Source organism: Homo sapiens, chromosome 3 (assembly GCF_000001405.40).
Source record: "Homo sapiens chromosome 3, GRCh38.p14 Primary Assembly".
NCBI lineage: Eukaryota > Metazoa > Chordata > Mammalia > Primates > Hominidae > Homo > Homo sapiens.
Window position 1 is genome coordinate 171,368,729 of NC_000003.12, and position 25,493 is coordinate 171,394,221.

At 40.3% G+C, this 25,493-nt stretch overlaps 1 protein-coding gene across 9 annotated transcripts in view, besides 1 other annotated feature; it reads right to left on the bottom strand.

Annotated features, from left to right (window-relative positions):
- Window positions 1–25,493, bottom strand: part of TNIK (TRAF2 and NCK interacting kinase) — a 401,995-nt gene that overhangs the window by 310,315 nt on the left and 66,187 nt on the right. For all 9 annotated transcript variants that reach the window (NR_027767.2, NM_001161566.3, NM_001161565.3 and 6 more), the window contains exon 2: window positions 892–957. Coding sequence is in view for 8 of the 9 variants with exons in the window: in NM_001161566.3 (NP_001155038.1) it covers window positions 892–957 (66 nt within the window). In the remaining variant the exon portion in view is untranslated. The remainder of the gene's footprint in view (window positions 1–891; window positions 958–25,493) is intronic.
- Window positions 15,295–15,841: an enhancer, noted in NCBI's record as "OCT4-NANOG hESC enhancer chr3:171101812-171102358 (GRCh37/hg19 assembly coordinates)". NCBI's record gives its function as "activates a minimal SCP1, AML or CMV promoter by ChIP-STARR-seq in naive H9 embryonic stem cells {active_cell/tissue: H9 hESC(naive)}" and the evidence as "EXISTENCE:reporter gene assay evidence [ECO:0000049][PMID:30033119]".

Here is a 25,493-nt window from a genome sequence, read left to right on the forward strand (position 1 = left end):
GTTTAGGGCTCAGGAGGAATTTTTAAAAATAGAACACGAGATAATTTGTAATGGAAATGCCATCCCATATCGCTGCCACTAGGGAAAATGATGGATATTTCCCTAGAAATTATCATGAGGAAACAGTTGGTTTGTTTTGATGGCATTTCAATAGCTCATTCAATGAAACCCCAAAAGTTTCAGTCCAAAAACAGTTCACTTTCATTTTTTTTGTTTTTTTTTTTGACAATCAGAAAAGGAATCAACTCACATTTTCAACCAGCCATTTTTCGTAGATTATACTTGGGGAAAATACCTTTTAAAAACACTTTTTGAGTGAATTTGTAAGCAGAAATTAGTACACAGGCAAGCAAGACTTCTTATTCCACAGCTCAGTCTCAACTCAAGTTTAACTTTTAATTATTTCCTAAAATTCGTCGCTGCTATTAAGCTTTTGCTTTGTGAGGTAACCCAGTTTTCTTCCAACACTGTTCACTCCACTCATTTAATTCATGTCCTAGGCCAATAACACATCTACTTTTCCAGCTGTAATAGTTTAATAGCTTAAATTTCTGAAGTAGATGGCATTCTTTTCTCTTTCAAAAACCAGTTCTGGCAGTGATTAAGTAAAGGAAACTGAACGCTTGAAGAGCTTCAAATATGTGCCATCAGAATTCATGTGTCACATACAAACACAGTAATATATAATGAAGGGAAATACCCAAATCACAGAATCCAGTTTAAGCAACATAACCACAGATATATTTTAAAAGATGGAGAGTCAATCAACAAGTATATTAATTCATTTTAAATTTGTTAGGAGCCATTTATGAGCCAGTATAGACAGCACTGCAATTTGTCATTCATGAACTGAAACCGTACATAAGCCACTCTCAGACTCAATGTACTTACCTTATAAACTTGCCCGTATGTTCCATTTCCAACAAGTTCCACCAATTCAAAGATCCCTGCGGGGTCCTGAAAGAAAATAAACAAACAATAAAAATTCAAAACAATATTCCAGGCATTGCCTTAATCAAAAGCAAATACTTATTTAAATTAAGCAAATAAATAACAACTTTAGCTTCAGGGGCTCTCATGTGTTAACATTTAATACTATCAAAATTTTAAAATTTAAGTCAGCTGCAGCTATGAAATTAGCCAAGTTCTATTTTCTTTCCATTTTACATTTCTATGAAATGTGTTTAAATCAGGCAAAAGGAGATGCTTTTTCAAGTGAAATAATAAAAAAGAAGTAACACATTTCTCACTGTTAAATGGAAAAACACACTTGCAGGAGCTACAGCAAGATAAAGTGAAAGACTCATCATCCTGAGAAGGTTCTAATGTTCCAGGGTATTTCTCTTTGAAATATCCGAGCTGTTCATTGTGTTGAGTGAGCCCTGGTAGCTAAGAAGGGTGTTCGTGCATTGTGGGGCAATCTTACCTATGGTAGTCAACAGTTTCCAAGGGAAAATAGAGTCAACTTAACTACCTCTCTCAGAAAGTTTTTCTTTGGATTCATCTCTTCTGTAATACTGCCTCTACAAAATATACTTTTGAGGATAGCCTCCAGTTCCTGCAGTACCTGCTGAGTAACTGCAGGATTTAGAATGCAAACTAAATTGGAGAATTATTCAAGTTCTTACCACCAATCAGTTGTCCACTAACCCCAGGAGTCAGCTAAATGTTACAGCGTTCAATAAATATCCAAAATTACTGCTATTATAACTGAATTACTATCCCAAAAAGTTGAAAAGAAAAATCAAAGCCAATAAAATTCTATTCAGAGGCAGAAATTGACTTTCACCCCTTACTGATTCCTAACTGGACAGAAATTGCTTCTTTAAAGGCATAAATCTAGGAGTCACAAACTTAAATGTCTACAGAGGCCAGGCCAGTAACATAAACAAGTAAAGTGGTCCAGTTGGGGCCTGTGGCAAACTGGGCAACCCGAGCCTCCTTGAGGGAGGTAGGGTATGGTATGGTAGGGTGGGGTGGGGTGGAGTTTACTTAGCTGGAGCCACTTGTTGTCTTGTCAACATATGAGCACAATATTGCCAGGTCTAAAGATTTTTCAAGAGAAACTGAACATTGTATTTAATGTGAGATCTCCTATTTTTTAAGTTTTAGGCACTTAATTTAAAAAACATTCTTAGGAACAAATAAAAATAGACTGCGCCTTTGGCCTGTCTCTACTGGACACTTACATAAGAGCAATGCCATATATTATTACAATGGGTGGCTAAGAGGCAGGGAGGGAACAGCCTGAACTTCAGATTCAGAGAGACCTGGGTTAAATACCAGCTGTGCCTTGACCAGCTGTGTGATCCTAGGAGACCCCGAGAAAGCAACATATTGTCTGGGTCTGCAGGGATGACATCTACCTAGCCATGCTCTTGTGAAGAATAAGTGTGGGCTTTGCACAATGCCTTTCAAGTAGTCGGAAATCTATTAACACCTAATAGTAATCACTTTTAAGCTGAGAAATTCCACACCACCAGCAGGATTTAAATGGGGGAAGGGGAAAATGAGTTTATCTGCTATTCTGGGGAAAGGGAAAAATGAGTTTGATCTGACAAGTCAGGATGCTTTAAAGTCCAATCTGTGGTAAATCAAACTCAAGAAAAGCCCCTGCGTAGGTGCCTTCAAAGATTCCACACAGAGAACAAATAAAAACAAAAACAAAAAGCAAACAAAGCACCCAACAGATTAAGCACTTAGTCACTGAGAAAGATTGGAGTTAGCACTACATTACCTGCTCTTACAAAGCCAGAAGGGCAAGAAACCACACTCCATGCTCATGTCCTGAAAAATCCAGAAGTCCAGAAGTTCCAGTTATGCCCCACCTGGTCTGGGAGGTGTGGTTCCAGACAGAACCACAAAACCGGAAAACACTCTTAAGGGACTTAGAGCTCTGAGTCGACCAACACCCCATAGTTAGAAGACACCATCAAGGCCACCTGGGAGGCCTCAGGATCGGGAAGAAAAATTTTGTTGGTTAAACTACTAGGCCATTAGAGCAGCAGGTTTTATTACAAATGGAATTAGAAAGAAATGAGGAAAAGAAAAAAAAAGCCCATAAATGGTGGCAGCTGCTGTTTGTTTCTAAGCTGTGCTTCCCAGTAGTTTGTTTGCTTGGTGGTGTTTCTGCAACATATTTGGAGAGAAGTCCTACATTTGCTTGAAATAGCTCAATTGTGTTTTCAACATTCATTTTTCTTAACTAAAAAAAAAATAACAGAAAGAGAAGAGATACAGGACAGTGATGAGTGGCTGCCTCAAGGAACCTGGGAATCAAACAGGGATGTGAGATGAGGGCAGGAGCACAAACAGGTGCAGAGCAGGAATCAGCTTCTACATCCAAAGGTCACTCGCCTCAGGGTCCCCTCTCAGAGCTGGGGTTAGTAGGTAGGTCTCAGGAAGATCTGGACAGCTGACTTGTGAGGCTCTTTTCTCTCCTTGAATAATCTATTCTTGGGTATATGTCCCAACCAATCAAAACCAAGGAGGCTTAATGCTGAGCCTTTAGTTCAAACTGCTAGGAGAAGGTTTTTGCTGGACACATCCAAGGGCCTCAGAAGTAAAGTTCAGAGGAACTAAAGAGTTCTACTGGCAACTGGCCTTGCATAGGCAACCAAACTGGAAAGAATCATCATATCAGATGGGTTCCCCAGGAATAAAACCTGAGACTCCCTGAGATTTATACTGTGTGAGTTTATTGGGGTATGCCTCAGAATCAACACCTGCCGGGGAGTAAAGGAAGAACTGGACTGAGCCAAAGGAAGAGCTGAACTGAAATGTAGTGGTAACAAAAACTTCATCTGATCCATGGAAGTGCTGGAGCTAGGACAGCCCTGGAGAATTATCCTACCTGGAAGCATCAGGACTTTGCATCCCATCTCCATTGACTAGTCACTGCATGTGGGATGCCCCCCAATACCCGTCCCAGAGGTAACAATCTTAGGTGAACTGACACTGTTCAGCTGAGGACATTTTTCAGATGAACGTCATCCCTAGCTACCTACACTCCCAGAAGGTGGACAACTGAGTGCCTCAGCAGTGGAGAACTGAGCTCTGTGTGACATACCACAACATACACTACAAGCACCATGGCTAGAAATAAGAACCAGTCTGGAATCAAAAGAGAAGTCTATAAGCATCTACAGTCTACAGTATCCTGAGAGTAACAAAGCAAAATAGCATGAGTCATGGTATTTGCAAGGAGGGGGCTCTTTGAAACCCTAGATATGGAAGTCAGAGGTATTATTCAGTGACACCTCAGTACTGACCCTAGGCTCTCTTCTCTCTTTCCCCCAATCCAAGCGCCTGGAGAGCTGAATGTTTGTGAATAGTCTTTCACACAAATGCATTTCATCATTAGTTACATCCTTGTAGAATTGTGATACAGCTTGAACAGTATAAGCATTTAGCTGTTTTCTCCATTCTAGAGTACCTCTAAAGTAATTTCCCCAAAAGGTCACCATGAACCTCAATTTCTTACACATAGTGGTTGCTTCTCAGTCCTGTCCTAGTTGTCCCTTTTGAGGCATTTATACTCCTGAGCATCACTACTCCTGTTGAAAATATATCCCTCCACCATCTTCTATCATACCTCTTAGTCTCTCTCACAGATTCTATAATATTTCTTCTGCTCACACCTTCTAGGTACCTTCCCCTAAGTTTCCACCCTTGTCCACCACTCCCCTAATTTTGTTCACTAAGTGTCAATGATCTTATCTCCAAATGTCCACCATATCCATCTACTCCACTCCATTCACACAACAGGCTTCATCATCTTTTTCTGGGACCATTTGCTTTTAGTTAATTCTTTCTTCCTTCTAAGCTATTCTCCATACTGATCTTTCTAAAACAGACATTTCTAATCATGACACTCCATGATTTAAAATAATACAAGATACGGTTCAAACTGAAAGTCAAGGTCATGTCATTCTTAGGCCTGGCCTCGATTCCCAGCCTTGTGTTCCATCATTCTGTACTATAACCAACACATGTCCCTCATGTCCCTAACATACCACACTCAGCTCTTGGTTCATACTGCCCATCTGCCAAGATTATTCCTTCTGCTTTCTTTATGAGGCAAGCCCATCCTTGAAAGCCCAGCTTGCTGCCTCCTTTCTGAAGCCCTTCTTAAATCAGCGTCACTGCCTCTCTCTCTCTGCAGCCGCAATATGTTGTGCACAGCTCTATGATAACCATTTTCACATAGTGCTAGCCTCTCTTACATTTCTCTCCCTTGATGAATTACAAATGCCTCAAGAGCAAGCACTGTAACATATTTATCTTGGTATTTCCAGCACTTAGCATGCTGTCCAATACATAACTGCTAGATATAACTATTTACTGAATAAGGTTGATGTCCCACTCCCAATTCTTCAAGACATGTATAGTGCAAATCACAAAAAATGGGATCAGAATGTAGAGCCAAAGGTCTAGCAAACTTACATCATTTCTTTTAAATCTAGACAAGTTGTTTTACCACTGTGCCCTCTATCCTCCTTACCCCAATCCCAAATGGACAAAACTGTCACATGTAAAAGCCCCTGTAGTATTCCCAGCTTAAAAAAATAAAATCCATAGAGCCTGTTGTAGTAAACTGTGCCTCACGTGCATTGAGAAGACAGGCTGTCAGAATGTGGCCAACAGAATGTGCAGCAAGGAGAGGAAGCTGTACCTAATAATCATGTTACAAAGACAGGAAAGCTAAGAGATAAGAAATCCACTTAATTCTCCCTCTTGTGTTTGCTTAGCTGCTCTTAAAGCCAGGATGAGCAGCATGGAAGAAAGTTACATACACCAAGGAGAAAAGAGCAAATCATTGACATTTACCAAAGTCAAGAATCCCTGTTGGCCACACATGCCTTTATTCAGATCTTAACCTTTGCTGGGAGGGTGAGAAGAGAATTTAATTCTAAGGTAGAGTAGTTTACATTATTTCATAATGAAATATAACTACATATCAAAAGGTAGACTATTCCTTGAAAGAAAATGTAATTTTTCAGCCAGTACTGATAAAAGCAAACTTGGTTAGTCATGACAATAAAAATTACAGTAATAGTGAACATTTCATGAGGACTTATGTGTCAGAAACGATTCTAAGCATTTTTCATGAATAGCTCATTTATCACAGCTTTATCAAGTGGATGCTATCATTATCTTTGTTTTACAGATTAGGAAATGGAGGCACGGAGGGATTAAATGCTTAGTCAGGGTCACACTACTAATGAGCGGCAGAGCCAGGATGTTGACTCAGATGGTCAGACTCCAAACCTTGAGTTCCTAATCACTATATCATAGCTTCATGGAACCATAATCCCCAGCCCTTGGTTTACCACCTGGTAGCTCTCTAACCTTGAGCCAGTTTCAGAACTGCATTGAACCTCAGTTTCCTCATCTTTAAAATGTGGACAGGATTACCTCCCTTGGGAGATACAATGAGAACTGTGAGTGTCTAGACTAGCTTGGGGCCTGATATGTAATAGGACTTTAATAAATATTCATTTTCTTCCTCCCTTTTCTTTTTCATCTTTGAAAATGAGTTCATGTAATAAACAAAGAATATGCCACAGTAAAATTCAGTCCGCATTTTATAGATTTTCAACTAAAAAAGCCAATAAAACTAATCTGGCCAGTAAACGAAAACCTATTGCTTTTCAACCAATAATATTACCCACCACATGCTTAGCAAACAGAGTCAGGTATTTATGGACAAAATGTATGTCTCTTTAAAAATTAGTTAGACAATTGAGAAGGCGCATTAAGTTTTGGGGGTTCCTTGGATGTTGAAATAAATACTCTTTCTTTCAGCTGATGAAATTTAGATGGCATTGGCAGGCTCAAGCCCAGCTTCACAGCAGAGAGGAGAGATTTAAGATCTAGGGTTTGATATTCCCTGCCACTAGGTTATGCTTTAATTCCTCCAGGTCCTCTGAATGATACTGGATTTATAAGAACACTAAATAACACCACTGGGCTAAATCCCAAAGATTGAAAAAGGCAAACTTAAGTCTGTAACTAGGATGACTATTTCCTTCACATCATAAAAGATGATACATATTCTTTCCAATGCCTCCCCACTTCTTTGAAAATGAAATTGACACGGATCATGAGCAAATGGCCTACACAGACTCTAGACACCCCTCCTCCAAAACGCCTCTTAAAGACACAGCCGTTCTGTGACAGAATCTTTTACTTGAGGCCACCAGTCCTCTGGCAGGGTAAAATACACCCAACAGAATACGGATGGCTGATAGTGCTCCCAGAATGACTGCTACCCCCGGATTCCCTATTGACATCTGCCAAACGACTGTGCTTACTCTAAACTTACGGGCCTTAAGAAGACCAAAATGTTATTTCTTTTAGAACCATATTTAGCAGCTGTTTTGTTTGGTTTCAGCCCTAACTGACAAGCATATGCTTACAAAAGCAAAACAGAACAAAGAAAACAGGAACAGTAGGAGAACTCTCCACATTTATCTTGAGGCTTCAGGCTTTTCAACATCATCTTCGAAAGTACAGCATTAGGAAACTGTGCTGACTCAACAACCCCCAGATTCTAGTTTATGCTGCACTCACAGCCAGGCAAGTTCCCTCAAAGGTAATTTTTTACTTTAACTTCCCCTCTTCTAAAGCAGTAGAGGTTTGCAGAGTCAAAGGTCTTGCTTTACACAGTAAGATTTATTTAATCCCTGACTGCTACCTGGCACCCTCCCTCGCCACCTACTGTGTGTTATACACTGTCCAAGGTAGAGGCAGTGGGGTACATGGCCCCTGCTTCATGGTGCTTCCAATCTAAGGAAGGAAGCAGACATGAGCAACTTACTACACGTACATAGTGATTAGATCATCATAACGACAAGCAGCATATGAGAAAAGGTGCTCCAAGAGTATTGATCCAGGAGATCTGGAATATAGCCCAGAAGCATATCTTCATTAACCTGCTGGCCCAAAGAAGTCATCTCAACTGGAATAGATAATTCAAGTAAAAAACATAAATATATACAGATAGATAGATAGATGATAGATAGATAGATAGATAGATAGATAGATAGATAGATAGATAGATGAGAGAGATATGGCTATAGGTAGGTAAAATACTGATTGTTGATTTTTCTTACTTGATCATCAGTGTAGGACAAATTAAACTATGCAAACCTATCACAGGACTGGTCCAAAACAATTAGGGTTCAAGTCTGGATTCCACTCCTTACTAGAGTTCTTTCACCCCTCATATTCCAGTTTTCTTCATCTGTAATTTGGGAAAGTGCCCTTTGGCCTGCATTTTTACAATGTCGCATCCTGCGTATGAATGTTCTAGGTAACTCCCCAGCTCCCTGTGTCAAGCATCGTCTTTTGGGAAGGGCTGTCCTGAGTGTAGGCTGATTCCAGGACACAAACTGCTCCGATAGAGCTGTTCCTGGCTAGTGTTGGTATCCTCTTACTAATACCAGCTCCTCAATGATCAGCTGGCTACTGGCAGAACACAGCCAAACCTCCAGGAACTAACCCTCGATACTGGTAGCTTCCAGTTTGGCTTTCATCTCTCAGAACAGGGAGACTGGAGCCTCCTCACCTCCTGTTTGGTTTGCAGTCTGCTTAGTTTCACCTGCTAATGTGCAGCAGCCAGCAGTGACACTGCTTTAGATCACCCTCCCCGCTCAGCTGCTTCACTCAAGACCCTGCAGCTCCAGCCTGTCCTCACAAAGTCGGCCTTTAGAACTGGATTTGAAACATCACTCCTCGGATTAATCACTGCAAAACCTTAAGCTATACAATAAGCTATAATAGGCATTATCGTTGTCATTGGGATAGGCCATAGCCTAAATGCTTTTCATACATTTTCATATTTCTTCCTTATGCAACCTGAGAAATAGGTATTACTAACCCCAATTTTCAGATGATAAAACTAAGGCGTCAAGGAATTAAGTAACTTGCCCAAGATTAAACAGTAAGTGGTAGAGACAGCAGCCAAGACCAGACTGTAAAGTAAAGGTAAAAATACCTGTCATGGAAGATGGTTCTGAGAATCCAAAACAACATATATAAAGCATTTAGCACAATGCATGGCAGTGCTTAATAAATAATGGCTACAGACATACTGCTCTTGCTGGTGGTATTAAGAGAAGTTTCCCAAGGTGATGACAACATTGGTTCATAGTAGAGCCAGGATTCAAATCCAGGTATTTTGAATCCAAGTCCATTATTACTCATTTCTCTACAAATGGCCAATGCTGAAATTAACCTGGGGTTACGGGGATGCTGAAGGCCTTGTGGGTTAACAATAGAGCCAGAGAATGGGCAGTGACCTCAGGACAGGAAACCACAATGAGCCAAATGGCTGGGAGCATAGAAGTTTTCTATACCATGGTTGCTTGGTGTCCCTGCCTCTTATCAGAGCCAGAAGCCCCAGAGAGGGAGAGCAAACAGGCTCTCAGATTTCTATCTAAAGCTAGTTTCTTTTTTTCCTACTTTGCCATTAGCTAGGATGAATGCTAATTACTTTAAGCTAACCAATTAATTGACAGTGAGAGGCGGTATAGCATAATAGTGAAAACCACAGACTCTACAGCCAAAAGCCTGAATCGAATCCCAGCTTCACCATTTTCTAGCCATATGACTTTGGGCATGTTATTTAATCTTTCTATGCCTGTTTCTTCAACTATAAAATACTGATAATGGTAGTACCCACTTTGCTGGATTACTTGATATAATAATTAATATATATAAAATGTGTAAAGCAACATCTAGCATATTGTAAGTGCTTAAAAAGTGTTCGCTAAAAATTCTTTACTCAAGAAAGAATAATTTCTTTACTCCAAGAATGAATAACTCTTATTGGTTTTGTCCACTGCAGTATCTCCAATACCTCGATCATGACTGGGACATCAGAGATATTCAATAAATATTATCTGGATGGAGCAAGTCCTCACATCACCACTTCTTCCACCGACAGCCACAATGCGGTAAGGTCTGTGACATTTGCAGCGAGGATTTCTGAGATCATATCAATAAAATATCTCTACCCATTTTACAGAAGAGCAAAGAGAGGCCCAGACAGGCTCTATATACTTATGCAGTTATAGATTTCTCCAGCAAGATAGTTTAGGTGATTTATCTGAGGTCTTATCCTAGTTAGTGGCAGAGTTAAATGAAGACCTATGTCTTTTGACTTCTAGTTTTTCCTTCTGTTTGATTTCACCCTTTAGTAAACCGATGGAATCACCCATTGCCTTTCAAAAAGTGGACCTGGAAAGGAAGGAAACAGGGACAGTAGGTAGGATGGGCAGGCCCTGCTGTTCTTTTGCAAAATCTAGGTAGTTGGGTTAAGAAATCGATTTCATTCATTTCCAGAAATGATGTAAGAAGATTTAGTGCACATGGCCAGTTTGACAGTCCATTTAGTAGGTCACATGCATATATATCAGCATAAAAGATAAATAATATTTTCAAAATATATTTTTCTCGGTTCACAGACTTAGCATATTCATACTCACAGTTAGCTCAGTTCAAAATTATTTCCTTACAGATGAAAACAAATAATTCTACATAAATTGATTATTGTCTACTAGCTTACATTGCATAAATAAGTATATACAACTAAGAATATAAAACTAAAAAGAGAACAATCCAAGGACTTCTTGTAACACTGACTTGAATATTTTTTCTGATTTTGGTGCATAGCACAGCTATTTTAATCCTTTGTCAGCTGCTGGGATTCACTGGCCAGCCCTTCTCATGCTTCTTGACCTGAAATTCCCAAGTCACGACTACAAACCTGCTTGTGCACACAAGGAATGCACAAGCCCCAACTGTGTGTTCAGAGACTGTTTTCTAACACATTCAGAGTCAGAGAAAGGCACACCAACTCCATAAGGCAAGTTAAGAAAACTCTTCAGGGTACTAAGCCACAAGACAGATATTGGAGAAGGATAGCTCTCTCCATCACCTCCTGTAATTTTTCTCAGCTCTTCTAAAAAAGTCTTTTAAGAAGCATACATGCAGGCCGGACACAGTGGCTCACGCCTGTAATCCCAGCACTTTGGGAGGCTGAGGCGGGCAGATCACGAGGTCAGGAGTTCGAGACCAGCCTGACCAACATGGTGAAACCCCATTTCTACTAAAAATACAAAAATTAGCTGGGCGTGGTGGTACACGCCTATAATCCCAGCTACTCAGGAGGCTGAGGCAGGAGCATCGCTTGAACCAGGGAGGTGGAGGTTGCAGTGAGCTGAGATCACGCCACTGCACTCCAGCCTGAGCGACAAAAGCGAAACTTGGTCAAAACACACACACACACACGCGCACACACACACACACACACACACACACACGCAAGTTGCTTTAAAGGTCAATATGCACATGACCACCCCCAACCCCAGCCCCTGCTCAACCTGGTCCCTTCCCTCCCATCATCAGGTTGTTGCAGAGATTATACAGCTGTTTGGGAAAATGTATCATACAGTTTACAAAGATTTGCAAACATGGGATCCTTCCAGACCTGTCAGGACAGGGTAACTTTCCAGTATTTCCAGCAAAACGAGGTGGAAATGATGGGAACCAGACTAGCAAATATTTTGGCCTTTTGCCTTTTTGAAGATACTTAGATGAAGAAAAAGATAGCAACTGCAGGAGATGGATTTAAAGACAAGAGCTGGTTACCTAAATAATTAAGAAAGAAAGATTAGGAAACAATTCAAGGTTCTGTTTTGGAAGAAGAGCCTTAACGGGACCATTCCCCCAGAGATACTCATTTACCACCTGCTTACAACAGACCAATGACACGTTATTTGCTTGAAAGAATTTTCAACTGTTCTTCCTACACCTATAAGCAACCATGAAGTTGATTACAGGCAGAGGTGAAACTTTTAGGTAAAAGGGACCTAACTCTATTCTAAGTCTAATAGGAGTATGAGGCCCCCTTTACCAGCTGCCTACCTGTCCCCACCCCTCTTCACAATACAGTGAGCTTCCTTCTTTGCCCTTTGCAGAGGGAACCTCTGATGAGGGCAAGAGTTGTGCACACTGAAAGGGGCAGGGTTAATGCCTTTCGGCCAAGGGCCCAGGACTTTTCTATGAGTAGGGAAATATTGGCTGGTTGATTAGATCATCTGTTACTCTCCCATTTCCAGAGAAGGGTGAGATGGCCCAGAGCCATGTAGGAACAGCCAGGAGCCCAATAATAGCTACCTGGAGCAGGGACCTGTCATCTGGCAGAGGTACAAACCAATCTTAGTCCATCACTTGGTGTCACCAGTAATGGTACAGATGGCTGACCAATACCAACTCTTATAAATCTCATACAGATGTTAATAACAGGGCTTCATTTGCATCTATTTTTTTTTCAAGCTTTTATATCTATGGCTAGGCCACCGTGAAGGACATACAAATTTATTTGCTTGCTTATTAGTTTTGCAAGGCAGATAACATTTTGGAACGGGGGATTTATACCATCTGTTCAAGGATCTAAAAGCTTTTTGGCAGACTCAAGAAGCTAAAGCCAGTCCTTTTGTCCCTCCAGATTTCCATGGGTGTTGAATTTCCACTGTCAAATAAGTTTGGGAACACTAGGTTAAAAAGATTAGCAGGTTAGGGGTTTCTTTACTGCAAGGCCTCTCAAAGCTTTTAATGTGTTAATGTACCCTGTGAATCTCCAAGACAGGGCAAAGCTTTTCATATTTTCCTAACTTGTCTGGCCACAGAACACTCCTTAAGGAAGCTTTGTATCTCCTCTAAGCACTGATATTCTGCAGAGCATAGAATGGAAAATGACAGTGTATAGAGCAATCTTTTCTGTGTCATTCCTACTTAACTAAAGCTTGCATCTTAAGTTACTGTAACAGAGATGGATCAATGCCACCCAATATTCATTCTCCCCTTGCTCCTTAACAAAAATTCCAATTTTATTTGGGAGGAAATGCACCCAGCTCAAAATCTACATGCCCTTGTCCCACTGAAGCTAGGAATGAATACATGACTAAATTCTGGCCAATGGTATGTAAGCAGAATTACTGTGTGGGGCATTCAGAAGGGCTGCCCAAATGGAGCTGACTTAGCTGGGAGAAGGGTTCTTCTGTCTTCCTCCCTCCTCCTTCCTGCTGCCTGGAATGCAGATGTAATGGCTAGAACACTACAGCCATTTCTGATCCTGAGGTGAATTTAAGAATGGAAGCCTTATGCTAAGATTGTTATAGCGGAACAATAAAATGATCCTATGGTTCTGACGATCATGGAGCTACCATGCTACCGCTAAGCTGCCTATGTCTGAACTTCTTTATCTTGAAAGAGAAACAAACTTCTATCTTCCTTAACCCACTAATATTTTGAGTTTTCTGTTTGAAGCAGCTGAAATCTAATTGATTTACTTTGAAGTTTACTGTTCAGATATTTTTATTCATTTATGTTTAACTAACATTCCTTCTTTAAAGGACTCTTCTCCATTAGCCTTTTGCTCTTTGGTAGAGGTGGCAGTCTCTAAGGTTGTTGAATACATCTTTTTTTTTTTTTTTTTTTTTTGAGACAGTCTCGCTCTGTCAGCCAGGCTGGAGGGCAGTGGCATGATCTCAGCTCACTGCAACCTCCGTCTCCCGGGCTCAAGCAATTCTTCTGCCTCAGCCTCTGAAGTAGTTAAGATTACAGGCGTATGCCACCATGCTCAGCTAATTTTTGTATTTTTAGGAGAGACAGGGTTTCACCATGTTGGCCAGGCTGGTCTCAAACTCCTGACCTCAGGTAATCCCCTCGCCTCAGCCTCCCAAAGTGCTGGGATTATAGGCATGAGCCACCGTGCCCGGCCTGAATAAATGTTCTATTTCTCCTCCTGCTGGCATGTTATAGGATGGCACTTCCCTACCCCTCTTGAAGCTGGCTGGGGCCACATGATTTACTTTGGCTAATAAAGTGTGCATGGAAGTGATGTTCCACTTCCAGATGGAATATGTGACTGACAGTTCAAATCATTGTGATGACTGTGGAAGCATATGTGGACATGATGCCTCCATTAGTCTGGTACTTGGATAGCTGATGAATGGAGTCCTCTACTGACCCACTCTAGGCATGTGGCATGGTCGAGAAATAAACTTTAGTTATATAAAGCCTCTAAGAGTGTTCATTACCATATCCTATCCTACTCTACTCTGACTGAAAGAATAGAAAAGACCAGAAACTGATGATAATAATAATCATATTGTATAATGCTTTGTAACTTTTGAAACAATATTTGAGAAGAACTGCTTCACACTGAATGTCTCCCCATGCCCCAGACATTATGCAGGGTATTTTGCAAAGGTTATTTTATTTCATCTCTGCATCAATCCTGTGAAGTAGATTGCTCACAAGAGAAAAAAAGCGAGGCTACAAGAGCCTCCAATGCCAAAACATACATTCTCCTCACTGTCTCCCATGTGCAATATCTGAAGGCAGCTCCCAGAAACAGTAAAATCCCTTCCAAAGCTGGCTGATGATACAGGGGGCAAGGAAAGACCAGAATTTTTACAAGGTGCCTACGTTCACAAGGCTGACTACACCTACATGGCCTAAACCAGAGCATGCTGGAGCTTGTGGTCTCTGCACCCCACTGAGGGCAACAGAATTGCAAGTCCTCGACTGCTCTTTTTTGAGTGTCTTTGAACTCAAAACCTGCTTTTTGAGCCACTGTCAAGGTAACCTAGCAGCTGAGAATAACTAATTGGGCAACGTTCTCTGACTGCTGGCATGAACAGTTATAATCTCAGCATCACTGTGGCAACCTGACTGGAATGCTGGTTATTCACACAAAGAAAAACTGGTCTCCATTCAGACCAGAATTGCATTTTGTCTTTGTTCCACTTTTCCCATTACAAGTTGCTACTGAAGGAACAATGCTTCTTTTAAGAAGAATGTGTATTATTGGTCTGTGCAAAAGCAGCATTTTCTTAGCCAAAAAAAAATTTGGAAAGGGAGGAAAAAGTAATATGTCCTATATTGCCAAAGGCAAAGAGACTATTAAGAAAGCTCTATATAAACAACAGTAAAGGTCATCTTGGGGTAATTCTGTGGCGTTTCAGCCAGGCCACAGAATTCTGTGGAGATCTCAATGGTGCAACATGGGCAACAGATGACTAAAAACTAGATTACATTCAATCAACCAGTGCACATTTCCTGAGCACCTACAATGTGCTATCACAGACACTGTCCTCCAAATCTCCCAGTGGTTCCCCGGTCTACTCTGCTCTCCCATCCAACCTCAGCCTCCCTTTAAAGCTACAGCACACCTCTCCCCAGGCATCAGCTACAGCCTCCAGCTCACCATTCCCAGAAGATGTTCTGTACACTCCCGCATTCTGTGTCCTTGTTCCCTTTTTGTTCTTGCTATCCAAAAAGTCCTTTTGTCCCATCTTTGTCAGTCAAAGCCTTACCAGTCTTTTGAGATCAGATTCAAATCATAGTTCCTACCTAAGGTCCTCCCATTACACTCCATTAGAGTAAATTCCACATTAAAGTACATTCCAAAGATCGCTTTGAATGTATCTGTCTTACTGCACTTGGAAGGCAACTCTCCAGGGAGCAAGATCAGCATTTGAATAAGGCTTTACCACTTCCAGTTGTGTTATCTTTGAAAAATCACTTAATCTCTTAGAGCCAAAGTCTCTTCACCTATAAACAGCATGCTACTCAGACTGCACCCATGACCATCCAACTCATCTGGGAACCTTGTTACAAATGCAGAAATCTGGGCCCTGCCCAGACCTACTGCATCAGGATTAACATTTTAATAAGATTCCCAAGTTATCCCAATGCATATTAATGGTACCAAAGTATTGATAAAATCTACCCAGCAGAGATATGATGAGAATGAGGGGAAACATAGAAAACATCCAACGGGGAGTCTAATACATAAAGACTCTCACTAAATGAGGAAATGACTACACTTTATATCCAATAAATGTTTGGTTAAGTTGAACTGTTTGGTGTTTTAAAGGATTCAGATATTTATGGCATGAGCTGGCCCTCAAGTGACATGTCAGATTAGTAAAAATAGATTAAAATACATGAAATATAAATGAAGAGAAGCAAAAGAACTGTGTTTTAGAAGAGCACATGACTGAAAATGACTTCATCGTTTATAATTTTTCTGACATTGAACAAGGCCACTAATATTTTTTAGCCTTTGGTGTCTTTTCCTATCAAGTAGAAATAAGAATAAAGGCAGCCTGCTTGCCTCTCAGAGTTGAACTAAAGTTATTCTAAAGTTAAAATGAGCTAAAGAGAATGAAGGAATTTTGCCAAATACAAAGAAATGATTAAGTCGGTGTTTATCAAGTAACACTAAAATACAACATACCCATCACAAACTGAGCTCACACTCAAAGGTGGCCAAACATGAAGGGCACACGGAGGTCAAAACGGTACATTAAGGCCACTGGTTTGAGGATGGAGTTTTAGTGGAAAGAATGAAGAGTGAGCCAAAGGGGACAAGTAGCTCTGCCTTCTCAGTGGGCTGATGACTGAGGTATCTACTGCTTTGAAAATACTGGGATAGGAGTGGGAGGGGACACCAGCTGGGCCCTAGAAGAAAAGGAATTCACAGCAAACCTGGGGCCCTCTCAGCCTAGGGGTTAAGAGAGAAATCAGAAGGGAGTCTCACGACTGTCAGGGCAGAGGCCTGAGACTAGACGGAGGTGTGTGGCAGCCACTCTGACGAGGAACACAGAGGAAACATTTGCTGGAGGAACCTCCATCATCCATTTCTCAAGAACCCTGCTCAAGAAAGGAGAAAGGATGGAGTTTGGGATCTCTGCTCTAACAAGTCAGACAAGCAGAACATAACATAAATGCAAAGAGAGTTCAGACAGGCAGGAAATCGATACAAACTGACACAGTCAAGCGGAGCTGAATGGAAAAGGTGGGCACCAAGCTAGACTTTAAAATACCTGCAGGATTTGGGTACACAGACAGAGATATCAGTAGAGGGGATAAACTTGCTTTGTTAATAGTATTATTTTAAAAGAACACATGTTAATTGCATGTATCATTTCTGTCAGAAATGATAAAACAATCCTATCACTTATAGGACAGCATATGCATTCAGCAAACTTTAAATTATTTCTAGAAATCAGGATTCCGTAAGCATTTCATAAGGCAAATGGATTTCAAGTATTGAACACACATGGCTATGACAAAATGGCAGACATGCATGCGATAAAGAATATAAGCCAGTCATTTTTTTGAACAAAATGCTGTTTGAGGCCTCACTTCTCCCAGGCAAATGAACAAATACATAAATGACTCTGATGTAATAACTTGTTTACATCCGTATTCCCCACTCAGCTATGCTCCTGCTCCTTCCAAAGCTGAAGCTGGGCTCCATTCATGTTAATATCTTTAGCTACATGCACTGTACCTAGGCTACAGGGGGACCTTCATAAATGCTGGTTAAGTAAATAATTTTACCAAGATCAACAACAAGAAAATATTTATAAGTTGTTGTTTACTTTTTCTTGTGAAATAAATAAATAACTCGGAGAGAGATGAATACATGTATCTTCACATCATTAAATATACCTTCCTCTGAGAGTACCAGCTGGGTCCCAGAGAATCTGTGAAGCTGCATTCAACCACGGCATATCTTTTTGGAAAGCCTATTTTCCATAAAAACTTTGGTGTTCGTGGTGTTTTTTAATATGTTAAATTAAACATGAATAAGTTTGTATCAAGTTTAAAAATAAAACACAAAGATGCTAACAAATTTCTGGTTTGCAGTGGAGGTTTCTCAGTCAGTCCACCAGAATCTCTAGGGTTTCCAGTTTCCTCTTCTTTACCCACAGGGATGTTTTGATAAAGACATTCAGAAGTGTATTGCTCACCTATACCATTTATAGCCCTAATTTTCAAACACAATAAATGCTTCTTATTTCACCTCTACTCATTCAGAATTTGCAATTACTGAAATTAGAGCTGAACAGAAGTTTAATTGTCTATTGTCCATATAGAATAGATTTCAAGAAAAGTAATAACATAAAAAAGGAAATCTCATTTTTAAAAATCTTCAGTCAAGTATCATTCACATCCAGTCACTTGCTAATTACAATTAGACATCTCTATCAAAGCCAGTGTTCTCTGCTAAAGGTGGTGTTCCAGGACCTCTGTTGAAAAACTTTGCCACTCCAGGGTTTCTCAGTTATTGTCTAAACCTAAAAGGGAATAAGATTCTTCAAAAATTATTATTGTCTTACCTTTCAGCAATATAAAATGTCCCTGCTCCTCCCAGGTCTCTGGATTAGGGAGGTTTTTCTGTGAGGCAAATAATAGAGCAATTCTATTCCTTAAATAGAGAGATGGTCACACTGGTGCTAATTAAATAAGCTGAGCATGTTTGCTTTGTGCACTTTTCAGTACATATTTTACAATTTAAAAGTTTGAAAAAATAATTTAATCATTAAGAGGGCAGCTTCAATTTAGAAGAATGAGGAAACAGACATAAGCAACCCAACAATTAAACTATCAGTTCCCTGTTCTAGGAGTGGTTCAAAGTTCAGAAATGAAGGCCTACTTGAGAGGCAGTAGAGGTAAGTGTCTTTTATTAGTGCAGAAATTCTCACTCTTAATTACTGAATTCCACTCAGTCATTAACCATACTATAGTGCAATGCTAACTACATAATGCTAGTAGATAGAGTGTCTCCTACATTGAGATACCAGTGTTTGCCAGTGTGTGTAACTAAAGCAAGCCTACAGCCACATCTCCAAAACCTGACATCGGCTCTTACATCTTCCACATTTTGTTTCAAATCTTTCTAGGGATAGTTCTTTCAAAATCCCTCTCATGTGCCCTTCTCAGTCACTATACTCAAATGCTTTTATGAGATAAGAAACTTAAGGAGTATGTGTCTGGGGATATTTTTAGGAAGAGATGGATTTTGTGCAGCTGATTATTAAGTCAAATAATGAATTAAGAATAATGACAACAATTGAAGTGAAAAATCTGCGTCATTACAGTAATCTTTCTCTCTTGAACAGAACTATTTGGCTTAAATCAAAGCCACCTGTAGGATTATGAATTTCAAACCACTAGGAGTGAGGCATATGAAGTTTCTAATTAGCACTGGCCAGGAAACATTAGTTCTCCCCTTTGCGGTATCTTACAGGTGGGGATAGAGTGATTGTATGTTCTCAGGAGAAATTTGCAGTTAAAATGGCCTAGTGGTTCAGAACTTGGACTCCAACAGAACTGAAATAATGACTGTACTATCAGAAAAATATAGGTGAGCAAGGAGTGTGGGGGGAGGGGACGGGGGGGAGCAGATCTTTCCAAAGAAAGATTGCTGCCAGTGAACTAATTGACTATTTAATGTGTTTATTTTACTTGACCATCTCCAGGAGTGATACAAAATAATTAAACAGCCTGTATGTATTTTGGTGATTTCCATATATCCTAAAGTACTCAATACAAAGACTGGCCTGGGCCAGAGCTGGCATGACTGCCCTCAGCTTCCAGTTCTAGTGCCATCTTATCCCTCCTAATCAATTTCCTCTGGGCAGAGATGTCCAACAACCACCACAGAAAGGCCTGGCTTAGAATCTTATTTTTATAAAACATAACAACTTCCCATTGACACACATTATTGAATAGAGATACTCTTCTGAAAAGGTTAGGGGTCTCTAAGAAGTAATACAAAGAACACTTTAAAATGTAGTAACTTACATATTTTTAAAATTAGGTATAAAAAGATGCAAAGAGCACTGGTCATTGTAGAAATCATTTCAGTTTAAAATTCAGGTCCTGCCACGCATTAGCTATGTGACTGAGCAATCTATGTTACTTTGTTGAGTTTCCTAGTGTCTTGGGGATGAACTGTGTCTCCCACAAAGGGTGACTTCTTCCCTACTGCTTCAGCACTCACATAGGCATCCTTACACACACACACTACCTTTGTGTTCTACTTCAACTGCTTTCAGTTAGTCTGTTCACAAACAACTTCCTTAAAAACTGATTTCCATCTTCAAATCAGAGTAAGCATCGTGTACACAAAGCCCTTCCTAAATCCCATTTCCTCCTCCCCAGCAGAGCTTAGTTGCTTCTCCTTTGTGTTCTAACAGTATTTGACTATAGCACTTGCCATGTATTGTAACTATGTGTTTAAGTGCCTAACTCCACCTCTAGACTGCAAGCTACTTGAAGTACATACAGTTTTTGAATGTTATTGGTATCTCTAGTTTTTTAACAGTATCAAAACTGACAGTAAGTTCTCAGTGTTACACAAAGGAGTTGATTAATAGCAGTGTTCATTTCTTGTATACTTACTATGTGCTAAGCACTTACATGCATTTTCTGTAATCCTGACATGAACTCTCTAAGGTGGACATTAGTATTTTAATTTTATAGAAGAGAAACCTGAGGCCCCAAAACAACAAATAAGTGATTAAAGTCAGGATTTGCCCAATCTCCAATCTGTTCACAAGGGATCTAGCACAACCACCTGGTACTTATTAGGTCCTCAAAAATGCCATCTTTTTTCCTACTGCCCAGAAAACAATGGGAATGTGACTTCTGCAATGGAAGTACCAGAAACTGTGTCCGTTGGTGCTGGCTAACACTATTACTTAGAAAATTTTGATACAAAAAGCTCATTTCACCAAGTCTGTGTCAGCAACCATAAACAGATTTTTCAATTGCACATTAATAATTCCCAAAAATATTTTCCGAGTGCCTGCTCTGTGCCAGTTCTGTACTGTACACTAAAGATCTATGAATAAAAAGTCAAGACCCCAGTCTCAAGAAGCAGACACCACGAGGTACCAACATTTGTAGAGCACTTGCTATGGAAACTTTAGAGCACCTGGGAGGACATAATCTTAATGGACAGATGTTACATGCCCATTAAACCCATCATTAGGGGATCTATGAATCATTTAACGGAACATAGAGTAGCCTGTTCTGTGCCATGTATGTGGCCACAGGAGATTCTTTTAGGAAGATAATGTCCTCCATTTGCCAATGTTTGTGTTAAAATTGAAGTGCAGCCAGCCCACAGGGGTACTCCTACCAGCATGTACTTAGGGGATTGATCAGGGTTTCCAATGAAATGGCAATATGGCAGCCACATAGTGAAGCAGAGAGCATCAAGACATAAAAGCCGTTCATTATTGAAACTTTACAACAAATTCCCTGACAACCTTTCCCTGGAGAAGCCCCTTGTTTCTGCCAACCCATTACATCTATTTTGAGGCTGGCAACCTGATGTGCCTCTGCACACAACCCCAAGAGGCACCCTTCATATACAATACAACATGATGCAAATACATCTTGATTGGTTCCTCTGGAGCTGTGTGACAAGGTGGTCCTGACTACCAAAGTAATTAAGGTTCTCATGCACCTTCAGTTGCCAAGCCATTATCAACACATTTGATTTTCAGGGAACATGTGAGGAGACCTCTGAGCCTTTGTGGCACGAATTTACCAAAGGGGAGCAAAGCCTAGTGAGTGAGGTGCCTCTTTCTGCCCAAAAGTGCAAGTGCATGATCAGCCATATGGAAGAGATCCCGGGTAATTACTCTCGGTACTTTCGTTTAGCTATTAAAATGCCACCCAACTGTCAAACCTTCACTCAGTGTTAATTACTGCCACACCGTGTTTGAATGCAGCACAAGTAGGACTGAAAGTAGAAAATAAATAATAACTATGCAAGGTTACAGCCTCTTTTTGTACCTCTGGTTGCAGTAACCACCTTCGATCTCTTTTTAAGGCCTTTCGTTCTCACCGTCATTCCCTCATGGACTGAGCAGTTGTTTACAAATTGCAAATGCCTATGAAAAGCCCCTATTTCACAGGGTCTCGCACACAGCCACTCAATTAATGGAACTAAATGCCTTGGTTAGGTTCACAGAAGCTGCTGAATAACTGCCATGCTGCACTTGGCATTTGCCTCCAGAGGAAGAACATGATGCTGGGTGATGTTGGTGATCTCACCTCTTGGTACATTAGCTTTCAGCTGAAAGTTCAAGGCCATCAAGCTGCTTCTCTGACTGGCAGAGAGGGTGCATATTAACCTCACACCTATCCTTCATGAGATAACTGTGCTGGCTTATTCTGCTCTTGGACTGGAGCTATATTTTATCCAGCAGTTCTTAACCTGTGCCCATGGATGTTGTGAACCTGCTAAAACTAGATACTATGCTTTGTGCATGTGTGATTTATAGGAAAGGGAGCCCAAACACTGATCATCTGAAAGGACTCTAATATCTAGAATCTTAGGTGACCTTTCAACGGTCCTTCAACACAAGCTGGGCAAGTGTATATTCACCTCCATTTCATAACAGAATAAACAAATGCTGAGCTGTGACTTGCCTGAGTGATCTGAGAATAAGTTGAGGCACTTTTCCAGTACTAATTAACATCTTCCCAGAGGATGCATCTACCATTTGTAATATGTGAGATGCATTTATCTCACATAAATCACCTTCGCTGGGATGATTTGTCTTTCATCTAGACTGTAAGCCCAAAAGACAAAAACTATTTTTGTCTGTCTTATCATCTCCATGTGTGTGTGTAATAGAGGAACAGTGTTTGTACCGAAGGGGATCAATGTTTGTCAGTCTAAAACATGCCATGATGGCATAAGAATTATTTTGAGCTAAAGGCAACTGACAAACATCAGATGTATATAAAGCTGTCTACTCCCCTTGTATCTGCCTAAAGTCAGGGCATAAATTTTCCTCAGTGAAGATGTTCTCTCTTTCCTCTCCCATACCAGGAAGAGGAGGCAACTCTTATTGCTGAAGATGGCACTGACTTCAATCTGCATAAACAAAATTGACTGTAATAAATCTTATCTTTCATTAGTTTTCCCCATATACTTATCTTCACATAAATAAGTACCCCTAGAAGTCCAAAACCCCTTTCTTTTCTCTTGTCATATTGCCACAATTTATTGTTCTTTGTTAAGATGGTATATATAAGCCCCCAATTCTAACCACTTCCTTAAGTTATATTTCTTTGTGAACTTCCATGCATATGTATGTAATTAAATCTGTTCTTTTCTCTTGTTAATCTGTCTTTTTTCAGTTAACTTGTAGGCCCCCAGTACTGAATCTAAAATAGTGGATGAAAAAGTCTTACCCTTTCCTATAGTATATAACAATAACTGTGATCAGTGAACAGATGCAAACCAACCTTCAGTTTCCAAAAATATTTATTTCTGTTTTCTGTCACAAGACACCTGTAGGACAATTTTTTTTGATGACCATAAGATGTAAAGGACAATGCTTAGAAAAACCTAGACACCAAGAAAAACCTGCTAATGTCTGCAAGAAAAGAACTTCATAATCCAGAAGTTCCCAAAACTCTATAATTGCTGAAGAATAACTAGAATTTTAACAAATTGCTCAAAATCTCCTTTCAAGTCCTCACAAAATCAGCTAATTCATTAAAAAGAAATTACATTATATGCCCCATTACATTTCATAGGACACTGGAGATGGACACAGGCACTCAGGAAATACTGGGAAATAGGGACAGTGATACAAATGACAATAAGATAAAACAATAAGGATCCAGAGAATGGCATTTGAAACTTGAAAACTGTATATTGAAAAGGGTGATTCCAGAAATTTAATCTGGTCACAATGTCTAAACTGGTGGCTATGAGAAAGGGGAGGAGAGGGATGGAGTCAGCAAGACCAGATAAAGGCAGAATGACATAATTAATGTGTAGCACTTTCAGCATATGAAAACAGCACTTCCTTCATCTTCCCAAAGACCATCAGCGTTGATCATATTTTATTATTAAGAAAATACAGGCTGGGCACAGTGGCTCGGCCTGAAGTCCCAGCACTTTGGGAGGCCAAAGTGGGTGGATCACTTGAGGTCAGGAGTTCGTGACCAGCCTGGCCAACATGGCAAAACCCTGACTCAACTAAAAATACAATAATCAGCAGGGTGTGGTGGGGGATGCCTGTAATCCCAGCTACTCAGGAGGCTGAGCAGGAGAATCACTTGAACCCAGAAGGTGGAGGCTGCAGTGAGCCGAGATCGTGCCATTGCACTCCAGCCTGGGTGACAGAACGAGATTCTGTCTCAAAAAAAAAAAAAAAAAGAAAAGAAAGAAAGAAAATACAGTTATCATACTGTATTCAGTGTATTCAATGCATACTTTGTCTCATCAGTGAGGAAATTTTCAACTATTTTCTGGGCAAAAAGAGTAATAATCCTTGGTAGTAATAACCATTTATCTGAAAGAAAGCACTTCCACAAGCTTTCTGTCACATTTTAAAATAAAAAAAAAATGAGCCTTCTCCCTTTACAATGCAGGCATTTCTAGGAACCACTGTAAAAGGGCCCACTTTTTCAGTATGTCTAAGAGCAGACAGCACTTTCCACCACCTGCCTTGCCCACTCTCTCCTAGCTCAGTGCACTTTCTCAGGTTGCACAAGTACGAACACATGGAGAATGCAAAGAATCTATCTAAGTTTGGCAGTGCTTGCTGCATTCTGCCTGTAGAAGTGCCCCCAAATGGTGCAAGCTGAAGCAAAACAGCCGCAGAAGCAAAATACAATCTCGCGGTCAGTGCAGACCCAGCTGCCCTTGTCTCTTAGACATTCCTGGCTGGAATCCCACTGAGCAAATATAGGGGGAAAACAGACAAGAAAGGCCCTAGATTCAGGAAATACCCAGCTGCTGCAGGAGAGAGCAGCTTACAAACAGCAATTTCCCTTTAAAAGTGCCCCCAAGGGCAGATCTCTAAATTATCCCTCGATATTTCTTTTCAATCATGCCATGACCCTACCACTGGTTTTTAAACTCCTCCTCTTGAACCATATGATGGACCTACAAGCAGCCAGTAGGTTCTCAAACACAGCTTTCACTATTAGGCCTGAAATCCAAAGGGAATAACGTTACCCTCTCATAGCATAGTTTCCTCATTCAGCCATTTCTCAAACCTTTTTTCTCCAAAATTCTTGCTATCAAGAGTGACTGTTAATACCAACAGAAGGACAAGCCTTCAAGGAACACAGTAACTGATCTCTTTCGTAATTTTCATTTGTCAAACTAAGGGAAGCTATACAACTTAGAAATCAAATGTCATGTTCATTTATCAGGTATTTATTCTATTCCAAATCTACACAGGACACGGACAGAAAAGATTCATGCATTCTTTTGACCGATATTTATTAAGTACTTACTGCAATTCATCAAGTCTAAAATACATATTTTTTCACATTTTGACATTTCTGGAATTGGGATGCATCTGAAAATTAAGATTCTGGTTTTCTTCTTTTAGTATATAAAATAATATAGCATCTTACAATCAATTGCACATGCCATGGACGAAATGCTTAAAACTTCTCAAATGAGTACAGCCATCTTTTCCCTTGAACTTGTCCTCCTCTTTCAAATGCATCCTCAGAGGCTGGTACCAGAGTAATTTTTATCTGGGGCAAATCTTGTCCTGTGACCCTTCCCCCTGTTTGAACCAGCCAATGAATTCCCTTTACCTATGGGTAAGCATGGAGTCAGAGGT